Consider the following 21,163-nt stretch of genomic DNA (forward strand, 5'->3'; position numbering starts at 1 on the left):
ATATTATGATTACAAATACAGAAAAAGAAACTTTGTGGAGAGAAATAGAAATGGAAGGAGATATCACCAAACATTAAGAGTGGTGTGGGAAAAGAGAATACAGGTACTTTTCCTCTTCTATCTAGTTTTGGGCATTTCCTAGGGGTGCCACAACACGCATTTCTTTACTATTGGACAACTTGATAAATGCAATATATAACAAGAGAAGTTTTTTTTTTTTTTTTGAGACGGAGTTTTCCTCTTGTTGCCCAAGCTGGAGTGCAATGGTGCGGTCTTGGCTCACCTCCGCCTCTTGAGACGGAGTTTTCCTCTTGTTGCCCAGGCTGGAGTGCAATGGTGCGGTCTCGGCTCACCTCCGCCTCCCGGGTTCAAGCAATTCTCCTGCCTCAGCATTCCGAGTAGCTGGGATTACAGGCATGCGTCATCATGCCCGGCTAATTTTGTATTTTTAGTAGAGACAGGGTTTCTCCATGTTGGTCAGGCTGGTCTCAAACTCCTGACCTCAGCTGACCTGCCTGCCTCAGCCTCCCCAAGTGCTGGGATTACAGGTGTGAGCCACCACGCCCAGCAAACAAGGGAAGATTTTTAAAAATCACCCATGATAAGAGGATACGATTTCAAATTAAAATAATGACAAGTAGGGAAAAGGTTGGGAACAGTAGAAAATTATAAGTTAATGTTTTGGTTTATTTTAGTATAATTAGATAAGTTTGGGTTTAAGAATATGAAAATATAGAAAGCTGATTATCCTTTGAGTCACTAGACAAAAACATAGTCTATTTTGCTTACTCCTGTCATTCAACCACATTACTACCCTTAAGTTCCTCCTATGTAGAAATTCTGAAACTAACAGGTGACTCTAAATACTCCTCCTGCAGTGTTGCCCCAGCCACTGCAGTTCTTGGGTGTCCACCCGAGGGTGTGTGGGGGAGAGAATCTAGACCCCTAGTTCAAGGAACCAATAGACTGGCCTTCCTCTGCCCCCTGGGCCTCCGCCTACTGACCCAGACACCAGAGGCTGTGTTAAGCTGGGCCGGGCTCTTCACAGTCTAACGTACTCAATGCAATACATTGGCTTAGTGTCACCATGGAGTCAGAACCCCTCATCCTGGTGGCCATTGTTCTGTGGGCTTGTTTTATAATGCTCTGCGCTTCCTCCTTAGCATTACAAGCTCTCAGTGCTGAGCCTCTGTCCCAACCATTTCCTTTGTTCCCCCCGGAAGTCCCATTGGATTGTAAACAGATGCCTCCACATCCACGGTCCTCACACAGGCACTCCTTCTATCTCCTGCTTTATTCGAAATCTGGCACTCTCCCGAGGCCACTTCTGCAGACCTCATTTGTTCAGATATCAAGTGACCAGTAGGTGTTGTTAATAATCTCCTGACTGTCCCCTCCCTGCCATTTCACCATCATTTCACTTATATTCTTGGTCAAAAACAAACAAACAAACAAAGCCAAGCAAAACAAACTCAAACAAAACAAGAATTCTGTCGGATTCTGATAATCTTGTTGTCTTAGTCCATTTGGGCTTCTATAAAAAAAAAATACCATAAACTGAGTGGCTCACAAATAACAGAAATCTGCTTCTCACAGCTCTGGAGCCTGGGAAGTCCAAGATCAAGGCGACAACAGATTCAGTGTCTTGCTGAGGCCCACTTTCTCATAGATGGCGGCCTTTCCTTGTGTCCTCACATGGTGAAAGAGGCAAGGCAGCTCTCTGTGGCCTCTTTTATAAGCACACTAATCCCATGATCCAATCACCTCTGAAACACCCCACTTCCTAATACCATCACCTTGGTGATTAGGTTTCAACATATGAATTTTGGAGGAACACAAATATTCAGACCATACCACGTGACGTCCAACTCAGTGTCTTTTTTCCCCCCATTTCATGACTGACTTCTGACCCACTCCTCAAGAATCTTAAGTGTACAATGGCTTACACTCTTTCTCTCCTCCACTTCATGTCTTGCCATCCTAGATGATTTCATTGGCCTGTGGACGACACATCTTTTAGCCACACTGTCCCTGCTCGCTGCCTTCTCTCTCTCCCCACCACCTTCAACACCTAGGAGGAGATTGCATGGCAACACAGAGGGCAGGAAAAGGCCAATACCAAATAACATTCTCATTGGCTCCTTCTCCAGAAGAACCTGGAGAGAGACAACTCTCTTTTTTGTTTCCCAATCAGTAGTAAAGTTGAGGGTGCCTTCTGCTTGGGAGTTTCTCAGTGAGTATGGCCCAGCAGGGATAAAAGAAAGGGGCCAAAACACAGGTAGCCCTTATAAAGGACATAAGCAAAATGCTTAAATGAGATTCTTGAGGTTTTTATGTTGTCTAGTTCAGCACTCCAGTGTTGGAGAGCAGATTGTGGGGAGATGGGGAGGAGTCATAGCTTGGAATAAGGAGTTTGGTTGTCCTCTGGTAATCTCTTTTTTTGGCTGCCTCAAATCCTCTGTGGAAAGCAGCTTGCCATATGCATGACTCTGTGTGTGTGTGTGTGTGTGTGTGTGTGTGTGTGTGTGTGTGATATACAAGCTCAGTGACAGGCAACCAGATACAGCTGAGTCCAGAGCAGTTAAAAGGAAATCCTGAACATTTCCAAAACATACAAGTAACACACCAAAAAGCAAATGATGCACCAAATACTGTTACCTAAAATTTCTTGGCTTCCTTGACTCTCCTTCAATATTCTAGTCTGAGATACATAATCTTCTATCTTTATGTTCTTACTTCTTACTTATACATAGAAAATCTACTCTGATCTTCTTAAGTGCTCTAATTCCCAGACACCCTCATTTTCCCCTAGTCATTCTGCCCATTCTGGATTTATTTCCTTCCCTATATAGTCTAAACCATGTCACTTATCACTACAATTCACTTTTCGGCATCCTTGAGTCCTTCCATTCTTGTTTTTTTCATTTCTTTGCCCATGCCTAGAAATCCCCAACTCTAGGCCAATCCAACTATCCACCTTCTCTTCTCTTACCATTTATTGCCTCATGAGTACCACATAGAGAAGAATCACAAATGTATTATTACTAATTTCAGCCAGGCCCCTAAATTGTTCCCTCTCTTAATCCCCTGTGTGACTCTTCCAGGATTTTACCACTCTCCTCAAACACTCTACCATCTAGCAGCAGATGACTTTGCTGCCTACTTCATGGAGGAAGGATATTAAGACCCTCAAGAATGAACTTTGTATCCTCTCACTTATCTATCTCTGCCTCCTTCCTTCCTGGTTCCTCCCATCCAAGCAAATCCCTTGACCTGGTATCTAAATTCCTTCCCTTCCACAATTTAAATAATCTTTATATCAACACTAAATGTTTATTCTTTTCTTCTTCTTCTTGTTTTTTGAGAGAGAGTCTTGCCCTGTCACCAGGCTGGAGTGCAGTGGTGCAATCTTGGCTGACTGCAACCTCTGCCTCCGGGGTTCAAGTGATTCTCCTGCCTCAGCCTCCCGAGTAGCTGGGACTATAGGCGTGCCCCACCACATCCAGCTAATTTTTGTATTTTTAGTAGAGACAGGGTTTCACCATGTTGGCCAGGATGGTCTTGATCTGATGGTCTTGATCTCTTGACCTCGTGATCCGCCCACCTCGGCCTCCCAAAGTACTGGGATTACACGCATGAGCCACGATGCCCGGCCTAAATATTTATTCTTTAGACAAATATGTATTAAGCACCAGGTACCAGGCTGGGCTATTGGGATAAAGTGACAAATAGAACCCAGTTACAAAAGATGCCTGTTGAATTGCTTGACTGGCACCCCTTTTCTGTGAATTGCATGCTCTGCTTTTATTTACTGGTTGGTTGCTCTGGGAGCTTCCATATTACAACTCTCACCCACTGGCCTCCCTGAGTAACTAGTTTGAAGTGGGCACCTAAACCAAGACTGGCAATCAATTCGTTCAATGGGAAATTTGTAATTGGAACTGGCAGTCAGAACCAGACTGTAAAACGGTAATTTGGAAGTTGGTAGTAGCCATTTACTGCCATGTGGACTAAGACACAGAGAGAGCCATTCTGCAGTGAGAATAGAGCTGAGACAGATTCAGAGAATGGTGAAGAGACAATAGGTTCTCCAAAAGAGGATTTTCTGGGGTTTTTAAGGTGCTCCATTCTCCAGTTCCATTTCCAAGGCCCAGATGCACCCCTGTCATAAAATGCCAGGGTCCTTCTAATAAACTTTATTTCTGCTTAAGATAGTATTTTGTGGCCAGGCGTGGTGGCTCACGCCTGTAATCTCAGCACTTTGGGAGGCTGAGGCGGGCGGATCATGAGGTCAGGAGATAGAGACCATCCTGGCTAACACAGTGAAACCCCATCTCTACTAAAAATACAAAAAAAATTAGCAGGGCATGGTGGCAGGCACCTGTAGTCCCAGCTACTCGGGAGGCTGAGGCAGGAGAATGGCGCGAACCCGGGAGGCGGAGCTTGCAGTGAGCCGAGATCACGCCACTGCACTCCAGCCTGGGCCACAGAGCTGGAGAGAGAAAAAAAAAAAAAAAGAAAAAAAAAAGGATAGTATTTTGTATTGGGTTTCTGTCACTTGTAAGCAAAAAGCAAGATCCTATCATTTTTGCTGGAAAGCTGGCCTGCCTTGTTTTACAACTATTGTCTGTTGGGACCCAGCCATGTGTCTTTTGAGGATAGAATTCTAGGGGACTAGGTAGCAAATGTCAGGATGTTGCCCCTTATTTTCAGTATTCATTAAGATACTACAAGAACTAAACACGTTCAAATACAGCTGAAGCCTGCCTGGGAACCACAGGGCCAGGGTGTGCCTCTGTTCTGTGAAGTTCTTTCGCCTTCTGCCAGTTGCCTGAGACTACTGAGGTCAGATAATCATGGGCTTTGCGGAATAACGGCTGCCAAATTATCTACTGCACCGTTTCTAAAGCTATCAATTATCCCCCTTCTCTCTTAAATTTTCAACACTTCCCTCTCTGTTGGCTCCTTACATCAGCATTTAAATCTACTCCCCTCTTAAAATCTATTCTAGAGTTACCAATTTTTCCTTCCTATTACAGGTAAACTTCTTGAAGTAGTTCATACTCAGTGACAAGCCATAGCAAGTAGGTGGCCTTACTCTCTGCTGCAACTCACTTACTAAGGTTGTACTTGCCCACCTACCTTATCACTAAATACAATGAATGGTTTCCAGGTCTTATCTTATTTGATCTTTCAGGAGTATATGACACTATTGACCACTTCTGCATTCCTGAAACACTTTTTCTTGGCTTCTGTGATACCACATGCTCCTGGTTTTCTTGTTACATGCCTGCTTGTTTCTTTGTAAGTTTCTTTTTTTGCTCTATGCCTTCAATGTGTTGGTGTTCTTCCAGTTTGGTCCCAGTCCTCAATCCTCAGTCCTGGTTCCATCCTAAACTCTCCTGGGGCAATCTCAATCACTCTGTTGGCATTATTGTACCTACCCAAATATAAGACAGAGCCCTCTTACCCTCACCAAAATCAGAAAACAGGGAGTCACTTTATATTCTGACCCTTAGAAGTCCTTCATGGCCAGTCGTGGTGGCTCACACCTATAATCCCAACACTTTGGGAGGCCAAGGCAGGAGGATTGCTTGAGCCCAGGAGTTTGAGACCAGCTTAGGCAACATAGTGAGCCCTTGTCTATGCAAAAAACCAAAACAATTAGCCTATACGGGTGTGGTGGTATGCACCTGTAGTCCCAGCTACTCGGGAGGCTGAGGTGGGAGGATTGCTTGAGCCTGGAAAGTGGAGGCTGCTTGAGCTGTGATTGTGCCACTGCACTCTAGTCTGGGCAGCAGAGACCCTGTCTCAAAAAAAAAAAAAAAAAAAAGTCGTTCATGTTACTGGATGCTCTCAACCATTTTGAACAACAAAATGCTTTTTGGTGGAATACACATTAGCATGAAATGCTCTCATTCAATGCTCATACAAAGCCACCTGACAGAATTGGTAAGAAAGGAAACAAATTGAACAGACTTTAAAATTACTTCTAGGGAAATATCTTCACACTTAGAAGTGTTGGATGTCCTTGTAAACAAGTCTTTAAAAGTCACTATAAAAAGCAATATGGTACATGAATATAATTACAGGATGAATGATGTAGTGTGATTAGATACTTGTGGCTTGGAATAAAATTCCCAGTGACAGCATTATATATAGAGTTAAAAACTTGGGTAGAAGTGAAGATGGTATGTCCTGGGAAATATGTTAGAGACTCAAAATGCGACACTTGTGATGATAAAGACACCATGAAGAATTTCAATAAAATTATTTTAAAGATTATATTTATATAATACGTAATTTAAAGTAAGCATAATTAAATTAATATATTCAATATTATAAATAGAGCCCTGATTATTTCTTTTTTCCCAACTTTTTCTTTCTTATTTAATTTTTTTAACTTTTATTTTAGGTTTGGGGGTACAAGTGAAGGTTTGTCACACAGGTACTCATGTCACAGGAGTTTGCTGTATGGATTATTTCATCACCCTGGAATTAAACCCAGTACCCAAAAGTTATTTTTTCTGCTCCAGTCTCTCCTCCCACCCTCTACCCTAAAGTAGACCCGTGTCTGCTGTTTCCTTCTTTGTGTTCGTAAGTTCTTGTCATTTAGCTCCCACTTATAAGCGAGAACATGCGATATTTGGTTTTCTGTTCCTGTGCTAGTTTGCTGAGGATAATGGCCTGCAGCTCCATCCATGCTCCCGCAAAAGGCATGATCTCATTCTTTTTTATAGCTGCAGAGCCCTGATTATTTCATCTATATCTCTAAAAGTTTATCTGTTCAAGTTGGCCACAAAGTTTTACGGGGGGGGATTGTTTTTGTTTTTATTTTTTGAGGCATGGTCTTGCTCTGTTACTCAGGCTGGAGTGCAGTGGCAAAATAATGTATCACTGCAGCCTTGACCTCCAGGCTCAAGTGATCCTCCCGAGTAGCTGGGACTACAGGCACACGCCACCACACCTAGCTAATTTTTTTTTTTTTTTAATGTAGAGACCGGGTTTTGCCCTGTTGCCTACTCTGGTCTTGAATTCCTGGGCTCAAGCTATCTGCCTGCCTCGGCCTCCCAAAGTGCCGGGATTACAGGTGTGAGCCGCCGAGGGGCCTGGGGGAGTGGGGTGGATTCTAATTGGAAAAATGGAGGCTCACCTTATTTTCAGAAGCACCTTATACTCAGGCATATGTAGTGTATGCTGATGACTCACTTCTCCAGTCCTATCTCCCTGCTAAACTCCAGATCCAAGTAATGAACGGCTTACTGATATTTCTACTCAGATGTATTTAAAGTACCTATGTATGCATAGGTACTTTAAATTTCCTTGTCCAAAGTTAAACTAACATTGTCTCCCATCTGCTCATCTTTCTCATTCCCCCCTCAGTGAATGCCACCACCTTCATTCAGCTTCCCAAGTTGAAATCTGAGTTACCCACATCTCCTATCTCTCCCACACACCCCTGCTGTTTCTATCTATCTCCTAAATCTCTCTCTTATCTGTTCACTTTTCTTAATCCCCTTTGCTTTACTCCAGGCCACCATCATCTCCTCCCTAGACTATTGTAACAAAATCTGAACTGTTTTTTTTTTTTTTTGGTCTCGACTTCTTCCAAACTACACTCCAAGAAGCAGCCTCAGTGTTCCCTCTAAAACGCAAATCTGAGGTCAAATCCCACCTGTAGGCGTGGCTGACTCCTATCTACCTTCAGGTCTCTGTTTAGAGGCCAAAGCTTCTCTAATTCTCCTTCTCCCACCCCCACACACAATTTAGTCAAGTTAGATGCTCTTACTAAGTTTTCCCACACTCCTTATCTTTCCTTACCATAACAGTCTTTACACTTCTTTGTTATAATTGTTTACCCTTTCTGCTAGACTGGGAACTTTGTTTATCTGGCTCATCACTGTCTTCCCTTAACATAAGCCAGGACCAGAGACACAGGATGTACTTTATAAATATTAAATGAATGAACCAATAATTTTGTTATCCCAGCATCCAGCACAATACTTGGTGAAAACAGGTCCTCAATAATTTTTGCTGAATTAATAGATTGTTGTTGAACTAAAGATATGTGATCAACTAAGCAACATGTGACAAGCAAAATTAATATTGAGCATGCTTGTACTTAAAAAGGAGCACACATCCTTTTTAATTACGCTTAATCAGAGATGGCTCCCTAGAGCAGGTGGCTTCTGAAGGAGAACGGGAGAAAATAAAAATTCTTACCTAGTGGAATGTAAAGGGCAAATATAAAAATAACAATCTCTGTGCAGAAGAAAATCACTTTCTTAAGACTGGGGCAACTTCTAGTTGAAGTCTGCTGTGACTAGGAAGTGTTCTATCCTGAGATCTGCTAGTCAGGGGACTAGCTTTCTTCTTCTCAACCTCGGACACTGGGATTCAGCCAGGGAATCAGCTGCAGAATCTCATTACTGCCAGCAGTTAAACACTGAATTGTACGTCCTTTCTAATGTTGAAAAAAAAATCCTTTTACTATAGAGAATAAGATTCCTACCAAGTTTTATATTCATAGGCTTTAATATTTCATGTAATTTTTATATCAAAATACATTAGCATAAATTTCACAAGATATCAGTCTAGTTATTTTTGGCCTGCATTTCGATAACTTTTACAGACACACAATGGCCACTCTGTTTTCTTTGCTCTAAAGTTTCTTTGTGCACTTATTCCTTGAACATGGGCCTCATGTTCTAACTTTACTTAGATGAAAAAACTGTTAATTTCACCAGTGGTTTAATATCTCTTCATAGATTGATAGTTTAGACAACATAAAAGTGTTGATTAGCAGTATACGTGCAGGCTGAAGTATTTGTTGAAAATCTTGTTGGGAGAATAAGAATGATAAAAGAGATGCCTAAGAAAATCTTTTCTCAGATATGCTTTACTAAACAAAGAACAGGTTAATTACTCAATGATGATTTTTAAAGGGCATGTCGACAGTGTCAGTGACTTTGAAACAAAGTAAAGGAGCTGAATTCAAGTGTGTGCCTGAGTTACTTAACTATCTTGAACTGATTTAGGATCTGTAGCTTTAATCTGGGGCTCCATCTACTAGTGGTTTAATAGAGTGGGTTTTATTAAAATTGTGATTTAATCAGAAGCCAGAAATATACAACTGTTTTAAACTTTTTGATATTAACCTGATATACACAGTGGGCTGATAAATTAGTGAGACAGTTCATATAAGTCATATATGAAAATCAGTCTGTTATTAGCCACAACTCATGTATTTTTCAAAACTTGGAGATAAATGTAAGCTTCATCTCAGAAGTCATATTACACGTTATAGGTTTAATATAATGAAATTTTTCCAGACTTAGAAAAGATATCAGGAAATTAACATTTGCAAGGCAATTTACAGTTTTCAAAGAGCTTTTCTCATTAATTATCTCAGAAAACTGAATAATGATGTGATTATTAAAGGTTAATTAAGCAAATACTTGTGAAGTAATTGGGAGGTAATCTATTTCTAATTTAACAGGTCAATCACGGGTATTTAGGAAATATTTTTGCTGGTTAACAACTCTAACCAAAACAAAAAGGTATTTAAATGGTTTCCCTAGTGAAAAACCATAAGCATGTGTTTCCTCTATTAAGTCAATTGTTTCAAAGAACTAGCATGAGAATTCCTAATTTCACCGTTTTGATGATTTAAGGTTTTATGAAGATTCTGAGCTCTTCCCTCCCGACGTTAATCCATGTCTTACATTGTTCATTTTGGCGCTTTAGAATAAAATATCTTTGGAAAGTAACTATGAGAAAGCACAGAGGGATATGTTAGTGAAATAGCCATTTTCTTGTGGGAAGCAAGACATTTCGGTTATCGACTACACAGAAGAGTGAATAAAACCCAACGCCTATCAACCACCAAACGTGACTCTGCTTGCATAATCATACAAATAAATTTTCTTTAAAAATTTTTCATGGGTGCAGTATATAAAATGATCAATAGTCTCATCAGCAGTGGAACTACAAACTGCTTTCTCCTAACTTTGTGTAGCCTGGGTGCTGCCTCACGATTACTAAGTGGTTTAAAATCATATCCCACTTGCTCCTTGGTTTATCAGCGAAAGACGTGATTCCCAGGTAGGAAAACGCCAAGTGTCCCGCAAAGGTACAGGTAAAACGTAGCAGTTACTGCGAGAAGACTGGCCCCGGGGAGTCCCAGGGCTCGGTCGGGGCCCCCGCACGAGCTGAGGAAGTGGACAGCGGGCACCTTTGTCTGTGCCTAGTTCCCTGGACCCGGGCCGAGCGATGCGGGTGGGGGCGCGGTTCGGGCGGGTCCCGGCGCTGCCCGGGGGAAGCGCGCGGCGACGGCGGCCCGGCTTGGGAGCCGGAGGTCAGCGGCTGCGCGGCCGGCCCCCTCCCACGGGAGCCGCGCCAGGGCCCAGCAAGAGTCGGGCGGGATCGCTATTGTTTTTGGCGAGCACATAAATCCCCGGGCCGACCCACTGCGCACCCAGGTTTCCTCCCGGAGGCCTTTCGGTTTCCTCTGAGGCCCTATATAGAGGCTCCAGGCCCGGACTGTGCAGAGGTGCGCGCCCACGCCGGCCTCCCGGACCAGCCTGAGCTCGGAGCGCCTCTCGCCCTCAGGTCTCTGCAGCCAGAGGCATCTGGGGAGGTGAGGGGGGAATTTGTCCCCGAGGCGAGGAGGAGGAGGCGGGGGCGCGCGGAGCCGAGGGGCTGCGGCGAGCGGGCGGGAGGAGCAGGAGGATCCGCTTCTCCGGGGTTTCCCTGACGCCAGCAGCAGCGCCCGGCGCGCGCGCCCCGCACCCGTCAGCGGCTCCGGGGAGAAGGGGGAGGGGAGCGGGCCCGCCACGGCCCGAGAGGCGGCAGCCGGGATTGGAGCGGGGGCGGGCCGCGCGCGGAGCCGAGGGGGTGCGGGCGAGGCGCGCGCGTGCGCGTGTGCGCGCCCGGGACTCCCGCCCCCCGCCCCCGCCCCCGCCCCCGCCGTCCGCGGTCTCCGCCCCCCTCGCGCTGGTGTGTGGAGCCGGAGTCGGCGGCGGGTGGCGGCGCCTGGAACCTGGAGACCGACCCACCGCCCCCCCCCCCCCGCCCCGGAATGTACTGACTCCCCTTCTTCGCTCTCCTCCCCTCCCCGCCCCCTTGCAGGAGGGAGGCGCCCTGGAGTCTCCCCTCCAGCGAGAGGGGCTGCGCGGGCCGGGCCGGGCCGGGCTGGGCTGGAGCAGCGGCGGCCGCGGGAGCCGAGCTTGCAGCGAGGGACCGGCTGAGGCGCGCGGGAGGGAAGGAGGCAAGGGCTCCGCGGCGCTGTCGCCGCCGCTGCCGCTCACTCTCGGGGAAGAGATGGCGGCGGAGCGGGGAGCCCGGCGACTCCTCAGCACCCCCTCCTTCTGGCTCTACTGCCTGCTGCTGCTCGGGCGCCGGGCGCCGGGCGCCGCGGCCGCCAGGAGCGGCTCCGCGCCGCAGTCCCCAGGTAAGCGGCGGGCGCGGGCCCGGGGGTTCGCGGGGGCGCGGCACCGGCTCAGGCGGCCGCGGCTGCGGTGTTTTTGTTTAGGATCCAGGAGGAAACGTGCAGGAACTTCTCTGCCTCGGCTCCGGTTGCCGAAGAGAAAGGGGATCGCGCGTGGTGGGGAGGAGAAGGGCGAGAGGGGGCGCCACCGGGGAAGGGGCGGCTGCCGGGGGGCAGGTCGGGGGCGCAGGGGTCTAGTTCCCAGCTTTGTACCTGGAGGCAGGTTCACCCCTCGCCTCTCTCCCCTCCCCCAGGCTCATCCCACTTGTAAGAGTGGGACATTCTTGTGCTCACACTAGCACCAGTAGAGGCCACTACACACCTCATTAAATAAACAATCAGACGGCCAATTCATTAATTTTCAGGAAAGGAAAGGGGAGGGGGCTTGAGCTCCTGGTTCCCTGGCCAGGGATTTCCCAGCTTCCGAAGTCTCGAGGAAGAGCTGGCTAGTCTCGAGGGACTCCTCGCGCGGGGATTGGAGCCCGAGTCTGCGGAAGAGCGGGGGTGTCAGAGGGGCACAATTGCCCGCTCACAACCCCTGGTGTTGATTTAACGATGAGGACGCCTTGGAGAGCGGCTCGGAGTGATCGTATCTGTTAGTGTTTCCGTTATGAAATGCCTCTTCTTTCCTGGGGATTACAACTATATTTACAGCCTATTAACCACTCTTAACCAAGGGAATTGTCTAAGCATCAGATTTTAGGTACTTGTACAATGTTTTCAGATGGCATTGTATAAACATTGAACCTCAAAAGCCATTTTCAGTTCTTTTTTGGAATATTATAGATTACTGAAACCACCTGCATTCCTATTAAGGGGACCAACGAACAAAAATGCCAAGCCTTCCGGGAAGGACCTTACGGTATTGTTGAGCAGGATACACTCAGCAGTTGAAAGGCAAATTAGCATGTAATCTGTTAAAATTATTTGACCAAGGTGGTGTACCATAAAACTTGACAAAACTTTCACTCGTGTGAGATATGATATTTTTACATTTGAAAGCAGTCTTACCGCTGAACCAGTACTTGTTTTTCCCTGATTTATATGAAATAATATTTAAAATCACACTGCAAGGTAACTTGACTGATAAACTTTTCATTTCCTTGCAGAGTGTGTATGTAGCTCATGGCTTTTGCCAATGTTAAAGAACAGCTTTAAACGTAAAGTACCACTCGGTATTCTCTAAACAGCTACGTAAACAATAGTGTTTTAATGTCAAATTAAACATCACTTATGTCATGATGTACCCTTATACATTCAGTCCGTATATGGTTTAGAACACATTTTGGTGCTGAAATGCAGGTTACTGATCCAACTGTCTCTTAGATGAGCAAGAGAAATATAACTATTTTGGAAAACAAGTTCCTGTTACTCATGATCTATTTTATATGGAAATTCATATGTAGTTCACCAAATTTCAAGTTTTTGTTTAAAGTTTTGCCGATAATTTTGTAAGTAACTAAAATGCTAGTAATTTTATTACTTAGGATAATAAAAATAATGCAAGCAGTCTCAGGAAGTGGTCTTAACATCTGTTTCAACATTAACTCAATTGACAGGTTTTTATTTTGCACAGATGAGGTGCAAGGCATATGCTCTCTGCCTTCATGGAGTTTACAGTCTGGTGTGTGGGTAGGAAAGATAGCCATCCATCTACTGATTATATAATTAAGTAATTGTGATAAGCACTACAAAGGAGAATAGGTTTTCACAAAGTGGGTACTGGAGTGACATAACCTAGTCTGGGTGTTAAGAGTGTCTCACAAGAACTGAGATCTGAGGAGTGGGTAGGAGTGGAGGTGGGGAGGCTCACAGGTAATTAGTCGTTTAATTGGGTCTAGAACATAGATCTCCTGATTCTCGGTCCAGAGTCCTTCCTGTAAACCGCTCTGCTTCATTACAAAAGCGAGAGGAATAACTGCAATAAGGAGGGGTTGGTCAGTTCTGCCATAAAACTGCGGAAGAGATCAAGAGACTGGAGAACTGAGTAAGCAGCAACTGGAACAAGCTGTCCGCAAATCAGATGTCCTTTGTCAGTAGTTTTATTTTTTTTATTTTTGTAGAGTGATAGACTTATAAATCTTTTTATAGGGGATTATAGTGAATAGATTGTAGGGAAGTGGACATGTTCAGTAGTAGAAGGTGGAGAAAAATAGAGATGTGGGACAATAGGATAAATGGAAAGTGTTTTTCCATCTGAGGTTATAGACATACGGAGGTGGAGGAAAAAGTAAGAAGTAAAGGACTGGTGATAGAAAATGGTCAGCAAGGGAGGAGGGTTGGAATTGAGTAGGAACATAATCTGGTATTCTGAAAAAGGGCAGATTACTGAAAAGATATGTAGAGACCTTGGGGAAGATGACATGGCAGCAGCCTGTGCAATGCATGTCTTCTCTATTTAGAGTGAACATTCTTCACCGAGGACTCTGTAGCTTCTGCCTGAACCATTTATTTCATGATGTGATTCATTGCCTTACAGGGTAGTCCATTTCTGTGTTGAATAACTTCTGTTAGAAAATGTTGCTTTGTACAGTACATTTCACTGTAGTTTTCACCCTCCCCACCCTTCTTACATTTTTTCCTCTTTGCTTACCTTTTTCAGCATTACTCTATCTTCAGGTTAATCTCTTCTCTGATTAATTCTTCATTTGTCTTTCTGGCTTTTCTTGAACTCACTCACTTAAATATTAGTATCTAAAGCTTATCTCATTATACATACTCTGTTTGCCCTCAGTTGCCACCTGTAAGCTAAGGACTCTCTTAGTCCACACTTTCTCACTTGCCACTCGGTACCTTCACTAAATAGGATCTTAGGTTACTGAAGTCCGAAGTTAAACTCTGTGTCATTTTCCCTCGTGCTTCCTTCATCCCCATTCTCTAAACATGAACAAACCAGTTCCTGGCCCCTGTGTCTCATGTTGTTGGAAGGATTGCATGGATTTGTCTTCTTGTGTTGCCTGTCTTGGTCATCACTGTTCATCCACTTGCCCAAGCTGAGATCAAGAAGACCTCCTCTTCCCATTGCCATAGCGGATAGTTCTTTTTGCTTTTTACCTCTCAGCTGTTTCTTGACTCTGAATCGGTATCTTTTCATCTTCATCCCCACCTGGACTAACAGTAGTGGCTCCATAATTAATCTCTTTGTCTGTACTGTTACCCTCTAGAAGTCTGTCCTGCTAGAATGAGCTTCCTGAAATATTTTCCTGAGCATGCCACTCTCCTACTTAAAATCTGTTACTAGTGTTCTGTAGCTTGGGTGTTAGAACTCTTTGGCATGGAGATTGTGAGGCCCTTTGTATTCTTTACCTCTGTTCTCCCAAACCCAATAAAGCCTCATCTCTTGTCACCCCTAACATGCACCTTGCATTCCACCACTCCAGATTAACGACACAGCTTCAGATCTCCGTGCCTTTGCACATGCTGTTCTTTCTGTTAAGTCACTTCTCACCTTGTCCACTTCTGAAACTCCTTATCTAGTCAATGAATTTTTCTCTACCAGCTTTCTCTTCCAAAGAGAGTTATGGTCACTATTCTGTGTTCCCATAGCTTCCTGAGTACTTTTCATCTTCTGTTACTTATTTTCTTGTCTTTTCTGCTAGTCTCAACCTCTGAAGGGGTTGGCCGGGTTGTCTTATTCACCTTTGTTTCCCTAGTGTAGCACTAACATGTAGCATAGAGAAGATAACCAGTAAATGTTTGTTGACTGAATGTTGAATTGCCTTTGTTTTTAACCCGTAGGGCCATACAGCACAAATCTGATTCCTTTATATGATGGCCCTTCATGTGTCTAATCACATTTCCTGTGTGCATGTGTGTGTGGGCCCCCCCTGCCCTTCCCCTCAAACCTTATCCTTTTTAAGTTAACCATCCTTAATTCCTTCAGCCACTCTTCACATTACTTAGTTTCCAGATCTTTTGTGATCTTGGTCATCCTCCTGGATATGCTGTAGTTTTAGCGTTTTTTTAGTTTTGTCATCTTTGGAAAGATCTTTGATCTTACTGAGTCATCTAAAAGAAAAGACTGATGGCGTTGCTCTGCCTGTCTGTTAGAATGAGGCACAAAAGAGATCATAGAATTCTGGGATGAATGCTCAAAGAAGATAAGAAATATGACTGATTTTCATAAACTGTATGAAAATTAATACATGATGTGAGATAGTGAAAAGACATACATGAAGGCAGAGGATATGGGGTATGACTTGTGGTTCTGCAACTTCACATACATCTGTAAGTTGGGGGATATAGGCAGGCAAGAATAATACCTTACCTACCTAACTGGATTGTCAGAAAAATAAAATGTAAAATTGTTCATAAACTATAAAGTACTGTACCTATGTAGAATGGCTTCAGTGTTTCTTTGTGAACTCTAAAAATATACTATATTAAATTATTTGAAAGTGTAGACTTTTTTTTCTTTTGGCTTAATTGATCATTGCTGGTTTCTTCCTTATGAGTTTTTCTCTACCTCAATGAAAATATTGGGGTAACCTTAATAAATCTCATTATATGGAGGCTGTATTTAATAGTCTTTTTTCCAAACACTTTATTTTATTAGTGACTTCCATGTGATTGGGAGCTATTTACCATATCATTGGTAAGTGTTTAGGTTTCTGGGTAAAATTGCATCAATAATTGGAGAACAGTCAGAGGAAATGACTGTAGGTAAGATCATATTGACCGGAGAGCTAAGTGAAGTGAGGAGAAGTTTTGTGTTTACGATTTTGAAAAATTAACTTTGTCATGGACATAGCTAGTGAAAGATGATTTTAAAATAGAGCTCAAATTTTGGATTCATTTAGAATGAAGAGAGTTTTTTTGATTCAAAAATTTTGTAAATAGTGACAAAAAAAGGCATTCAGACCCACTGGTATGATTTTGGTATATTTCTTTCTACTTACTGCCTATATGGCACATTATCTTTTTACATTGTAATCATGGTGTATGTATAACTTGAAATGTTTTCCTTTGACATTATACCATTTTTCTTTGTTGTCACATTATCTTTAAATCATTTTATTTTAAAAACTTATTTAAAAATACATAAATATATGTTTGTTTGCAGTCAAACAATATAAAAATACATAGAATAAAAGATTTTATCACTTCTACCCACAAATTCCATTTTTGAAACCCATAAGTAACCCCTTTTAATATCTTCCCTTGCATGTGCATATGTGTGTATGGTTTTATTTTTTTACAGATAAGCAGGATCATACTACCTATTGTTTTTTCAACTTGCTTTTTCACTTAGTATGTTGGAGATCGTTCCATGCCAGTACATACAGATTTTCCTATAACCATTATTTAAAATGTGTGTGTAATATTCCAGGGAGCAAATATAATAATAGTGGCTAATTAAAGTAGTAGTTACAGAACACTCCCTGACTTCCAGGCATTGTGCCATGCTCTTTCACATGTATTTAATCTTTTATACAGTCCTGTGAGGAAGATGACAATTTCTTCACATTCCACAGATGAGGAAACTGAGTCTCAGATATTAAGTGCCTTGCCGAAGGTCTCACAACCTTTCATGTGCAAGAGTTGGCATTGGAATCCAGGTTTTTGCAACTTCAAAGCCTATGTTCTTTATTCCTCTGCATTCTGCTGCTAATTGTGTATTCTCCTGTTATGGATATGGAAGTTGTTTTTACTGTTTTGCTGTGATAAAGAATGCTGTGATGAACATATTCTTTCTATATTTTGGATTCCCCCATATAGGATTGCTGGTGAAAAGTTAACTTGTGTGTGTATGTGGGGGTCAGGGTTCCATTTATTGCAGAAAAGTAATGATGTCATTAAGAATAATTCCATTGACTAATACTTTCATAACTTTTTGAAGGTTTTACCACTTTTAATTGTGAACTTTGGGTACTTAAGGCCATGTTTTAAAATGCAAGTTCATCTGTTAACTGAAAGGTTAAGCTAATTAATAAGTAATTTCAAAGGTCCCTTCTGCCTTCCAGGTTTCTCTTACTCTGAAGTCCATAAAATGGAACAGTGGGTTTATTTCAGCTTAATAACTTCTATTCAGTTATTGTGTTCCAACACTGGTCATTTCTGGTTTTCAGATGCAAAAGTCACCTTTTTTTCATTCGCTAAAGCTCAGGTTATTGTATATCTTTTTTTTGTAGTGCAAAGTAGGATATGATTGGAAAATCGTCTATGTTACTTGCAAATGATTGTATATGATTTTATTTTATATGTGTAAAAATAGCTTTAGGGCTGAGTTATATGGCTTCAGTGTTAAGTAATTGTGAGGTATTTTAAGATACAGTATTACCAGAAATATTAGATGCTTACTCTTAGGCTTGGAAGGGATGTAGAGTAAATTGACCAGGTTACAGAGCTGGCTTATGTAAACAGGTTTTGATTCCCTGTCTGACCCCTTTACATAAAGAAAAGGCAGAGAGGTATGGTGGTTATATATGTTTTATTTTACTGAATGAAGTCAGTTCTTCAGTTCTGAGGAGTTAGCAGGTTGGTGGTCTGAAGTGCAGATTACGTGTCTCTGCTTTTCCTTTTTTAAAGAACCATTAGAAATAACCTTCTTTAAAATTATTTCATAGCGAGAATCCTTACATTTAACTTTTTATTAAGTCAGTTCTATAGGCAAAGCTAGGAGTTGCAGTAATTTTGGCTGGTTGCAAACGTTTATCTTTGAGGGCTAATTATGCACAAAACTACACTGTGGAAATAAAGATGAATTGGACGTGCTTTCTGTCCTCAGGAAGCATTTGGTCTAATGGTGGAGGTAAGGGAGATATTAGGTAACTTGATTTGGCGAGAGAAAGTGCCATTACTGCTGTAGGTAGAAAAATACATTCTGGAATCATTGTGTTACTGTTGATCAAGGAATAGTGCTGCTTTCCCTCATAATTTTGGTTCTGTATCTTTAGAGTAGTCCTAACTTAGTTTTATAAAGCCAGTAGACTAGAATTCTCAAGAAGGAGTTATATATCATTTCCTCTGATTACTGCAGTGTTTGAATGTATGAGAATGCTCATAATTGAGCTGTCTGGGGGTACAGCTACTCCCATGTTTTTTGGAAATCTGGAGATTGATCATACTGATTTTCAGAATTGATTATTGGTCATTAATAGTACAACTTACTAAGAAGTCCTGAGCAGAGTGAATTTTTGTAATGATACTATGTGGAAATTGAAAACAGAATGTTTCTGTTTTTCTGCTGTAGTGGTAAAAAAAAAAATCACCAAAATATGTCTTTATTTATGAGGTCTAGTTAAGATAATAGCATTATAATTTACAAATTTAGGGATAGAATAACAAATTATAAGTTTCATTCATAATTTTTTAATTCACAGCATAGCTTTAAATGTAACAAGTAAAATTTGAAAATCTTTTTGGTTAATTGTTGAAAGTTTTTGAAGTTGGAGGTAGGATAACTAGTTTTGTTTGTTTGTTTGTTTGTTTGTTTTTTCTGAGACTGAGTCTCACTCTGTTGCCCAGGCTGGAGTGTACTGGTGCGATCTTGGCTCACTGCAACCTCTGCCTCCCAGATTCAAGCCATTCTGCTGCCTCAGCCTCCCAAGTAGCTGGGACTACAGGCGTGCACCACCACACCCTGCTAATTTTTTTTGTACTTTTAGTAGAAACAGGGTTTCACCATTAATGGCCAGGCTGGTTTCAAACTCCTGACCTCAAATGATCTGCCCGCCTCGGCCTCCCAAAGTGTTGGGATTACAGACGTGAGCCACCGCTGCACCCAGGCAACTAGTTGTTTTAAATTTATAGAGTGTTGTATATTCAAGGGATTGTGTGCAGAAATTCTTGTGGTGATAACCCTTTTATTTATTTATTTATTTTGAGATGGGCTCTCACTCTATCACCCAGGCTGGAGTGCAGTGGCATGATCACAGCTTACTGCAGCCTCAACCTTCCAGGCTCAGGTGATCCCCAGCCTCAGCCTCCCAAGTAGCTGGGGCTACAGTCATGCCTCACCATGCCCAGCTAATTTTTTTGGGTATTTTTGTACAGACAGGGTTTCACCATATTGCCAAGGCTGGTCTCAAACTCCTAGACTCAAGCAATCTACCCGCCTCAGCCTCCCAAAGTGCTGGGATTACAAATGTGACACTGCACTGGCCTAACCTGTTTATTAATCGTACCTCACCTACATAGGACTCAACCATTATGCAACCTACCTCCGGAATATAACTGAAGACTAGGGAATAAGAGAAATAATTTTCAAAGTAAATGCATTTCTCCGAGTCCCAAAGGACTTTGTTCAGAGCCTATCTTTAATTCATAGGCAGTTCTAACAAACAGTATAATCTAATTTCTGAGCCCATAGCTGATCAGAAGTGGGTAGAAAGACTATCTTGGGAAATGCCCCCTGCAGCAGAAGGTAGTGACAGTTGCAAGGAAAGATACTTAAAATAAGCGTAAGAACACAGAGATATCTTCCCATAAACGGAAGTTACTGTCTCAGCCAAGTTGAGGAAAATTTCTTTCCCTTTCCATTACTGCTAATGGATATTGCCTACCCCTGGCCTTTCCTTTTATCCCCTCCTACTGTAGATACAGTTGCTGTCTGGGAGATAGATCTTCCCTCAGAAATCTCTTGAGTCTTAATCTCTCCTCAAATTAGTAAGGGTTCAGGTTGATGCCTGAGGTAGGAAGAAAGGAAGTGTGACCAGGAGGGGAGGTGAGGTGGCAGGGTATGGTTCCTACCCCTCTGGCCATGACATTTATCTTTATTAACAGCGTTACTAAACCTGATTGCTAAAATATGTATGTGGATTTTTAATTTGGGGGTAAAGTTAATTGTTGAATTTTTATTGTTAAAAATGTAACAGTTCATACTATGTAAAATAAAATGTGAAATCATACACTCCAACCCTTCTTCCCAGAGTAATCACTTTTAATAGCTATGGTCTATTTTATATATACAATTATATACTTAAAATATCTGGTACATATATAACAACAATAACAAGTTGGATTTTGCTGTGCACACTGACTTTTAACTTGTTTTAGGACATCTTTCCATGTGAGTGTGTATAAATTTATGAGTTGTGTTGATAGCCATATGAAATTGTATTTTCTGGATATATCATAATTTATTTAACCAATTTCTTTTTGATGCTCCCAAATTTTTGATTGCAAACAAATGATGCAGTGAACCCACGTTTATAAATGTCCCCATTTGTGCACATGTGCAAGTAAACCATAGAATAAGTTTGTGGGTGTGGAATTGTAGGGCAAGAGGGCATGTGTAGTCACATTATTTCCAAATTGTTTACTAAACAGCTGATTTACACTCCTTTGAGCAGCAAATGAGAGTGTCTGTTTCCACACTTCCTTGCCAACATATTGGTTATTTTCAGACTTCCTAGTCTTTTTGCCAATTTGATAGAAGAAAAAAAACCTCTGTAAATTTCATATTTTAAAATTATTAATGGAGTTGAGCATCTTTTCAGATTTTTATTGATGGTTTATATTGTTTCTGAGAATTGCCTATTCATGTGTTTTATTCATATATCTATATCTTTTATTGAATCATTGATTCATTTATAAATATAGATAATACGTAATTAAGAATAGGAATAATTTAAAACTTTATAATTTGTCAAAACTTCCATAGCTGCTTGTGGTTCTTAACTTAGTGATAAGCAAACTGAGTAATTGGGTTAGTTACCTGACTCCTGCTAACCA

At 42.1% G+C, this 21,163-nt stretch overlaps 1 protein-coding gene across 29 annotated transcripts in view, besides 4 other annotated features; it reads left to right on the forward strand.

Moving 5' to 3' along the window:
- Window positions 10,230–10,279: a silencer, noted in NCBI's record as "silent region_6628". NCBI's record gives its function as "represses an Ori minimal core promoter by ATAC-STARR-seq in GM12878 lymphoblastoid cells {active_cell/tissue: GM12878}" and the evidence as "EXISTENCE:reporter gene assay evidence [ECO:0000049][PMID:35858748]".
- NEO1 (neogenin 1) overlaps window positions 10,339–21,163 on the forward strand; it is a 253,515-nt gene continuing 242,690 nt past the window's right edge. For 20 of the 29 annotated variants that reach the window (XM_011521628.3, XM_011521633.4, XM_011521629.3 and 17 more), the window contains exons 1-2: window positions 10,549–10,639; window positions 11,131–11,452. In XM_011521628.3, the coding sequence (XP_011519930.1) occupies window positions 11,323–11,452 (130 nt within the window). In that variant the 5' untranslated portion in view covers window positions 10,549–10,639; window positions 11,131–11,322. Of the gene's footprint in view, window positions 10,640–11,109; window positions 11,453–21,163 lie in introns of those variants that run through there. The other 9 variants (XM_017022232.2, XM_047432599.1, XM_047432594.1 and 6 more) reach the window with 3 other exon arrangements.
- Window positions 10,340–10,409: a silencer, noted in NCBI's record as "silent region_6629". NCBI's record gives its function as "represses an Ori minimal core promoter by ATAC-STARR-seq in GM12878 lymphoblastoid cells {active_cell/tissue: GM12878}" and the evidence as "EXISTENCE:reporter gene assay evidence [ECO:0000049][PMID:35858748]".
- Window positions 10,500–10,819: a silencer, noted in NCBI's record as "silent region_6630". NCBI's record gives its function as "represses an Ori minimal core promoter by ATAC-STARR-seq in GM12878 lymphoblastoid cells {active_cell/tissue: GM12878}" and the evidence as "EXISTENCE:reporter gene assay evidence [ECO:0000049][PMID:35858748]".
- Window positions 11,050–11,429: a silencer, noted in NCBI's record as "silent region_6631". NCBI's record gives its function as "represses an Ori minimal core promoter by ATAC-STARR-seq in GM12878 lymphoblastoid cells {active_cell/tissue: GM12878}" and the evidence as "EXISTENCE:reporter gene assay evidence [ECO:0000049][PMID:35858748]".

The sequence above is a fragment of the Homo sapiens genome, chromosome 15, assembly GCF_000001405.40.
Source record: "Homo sapiens chromosome 15, GRCh38.p14 Primary Assembly".
Taxonomy (NCBI): Eukaryota; Metazoa; Chordata; class Mammalia; order Primates; family Hominidae; genus Homo; species Homo sapiens.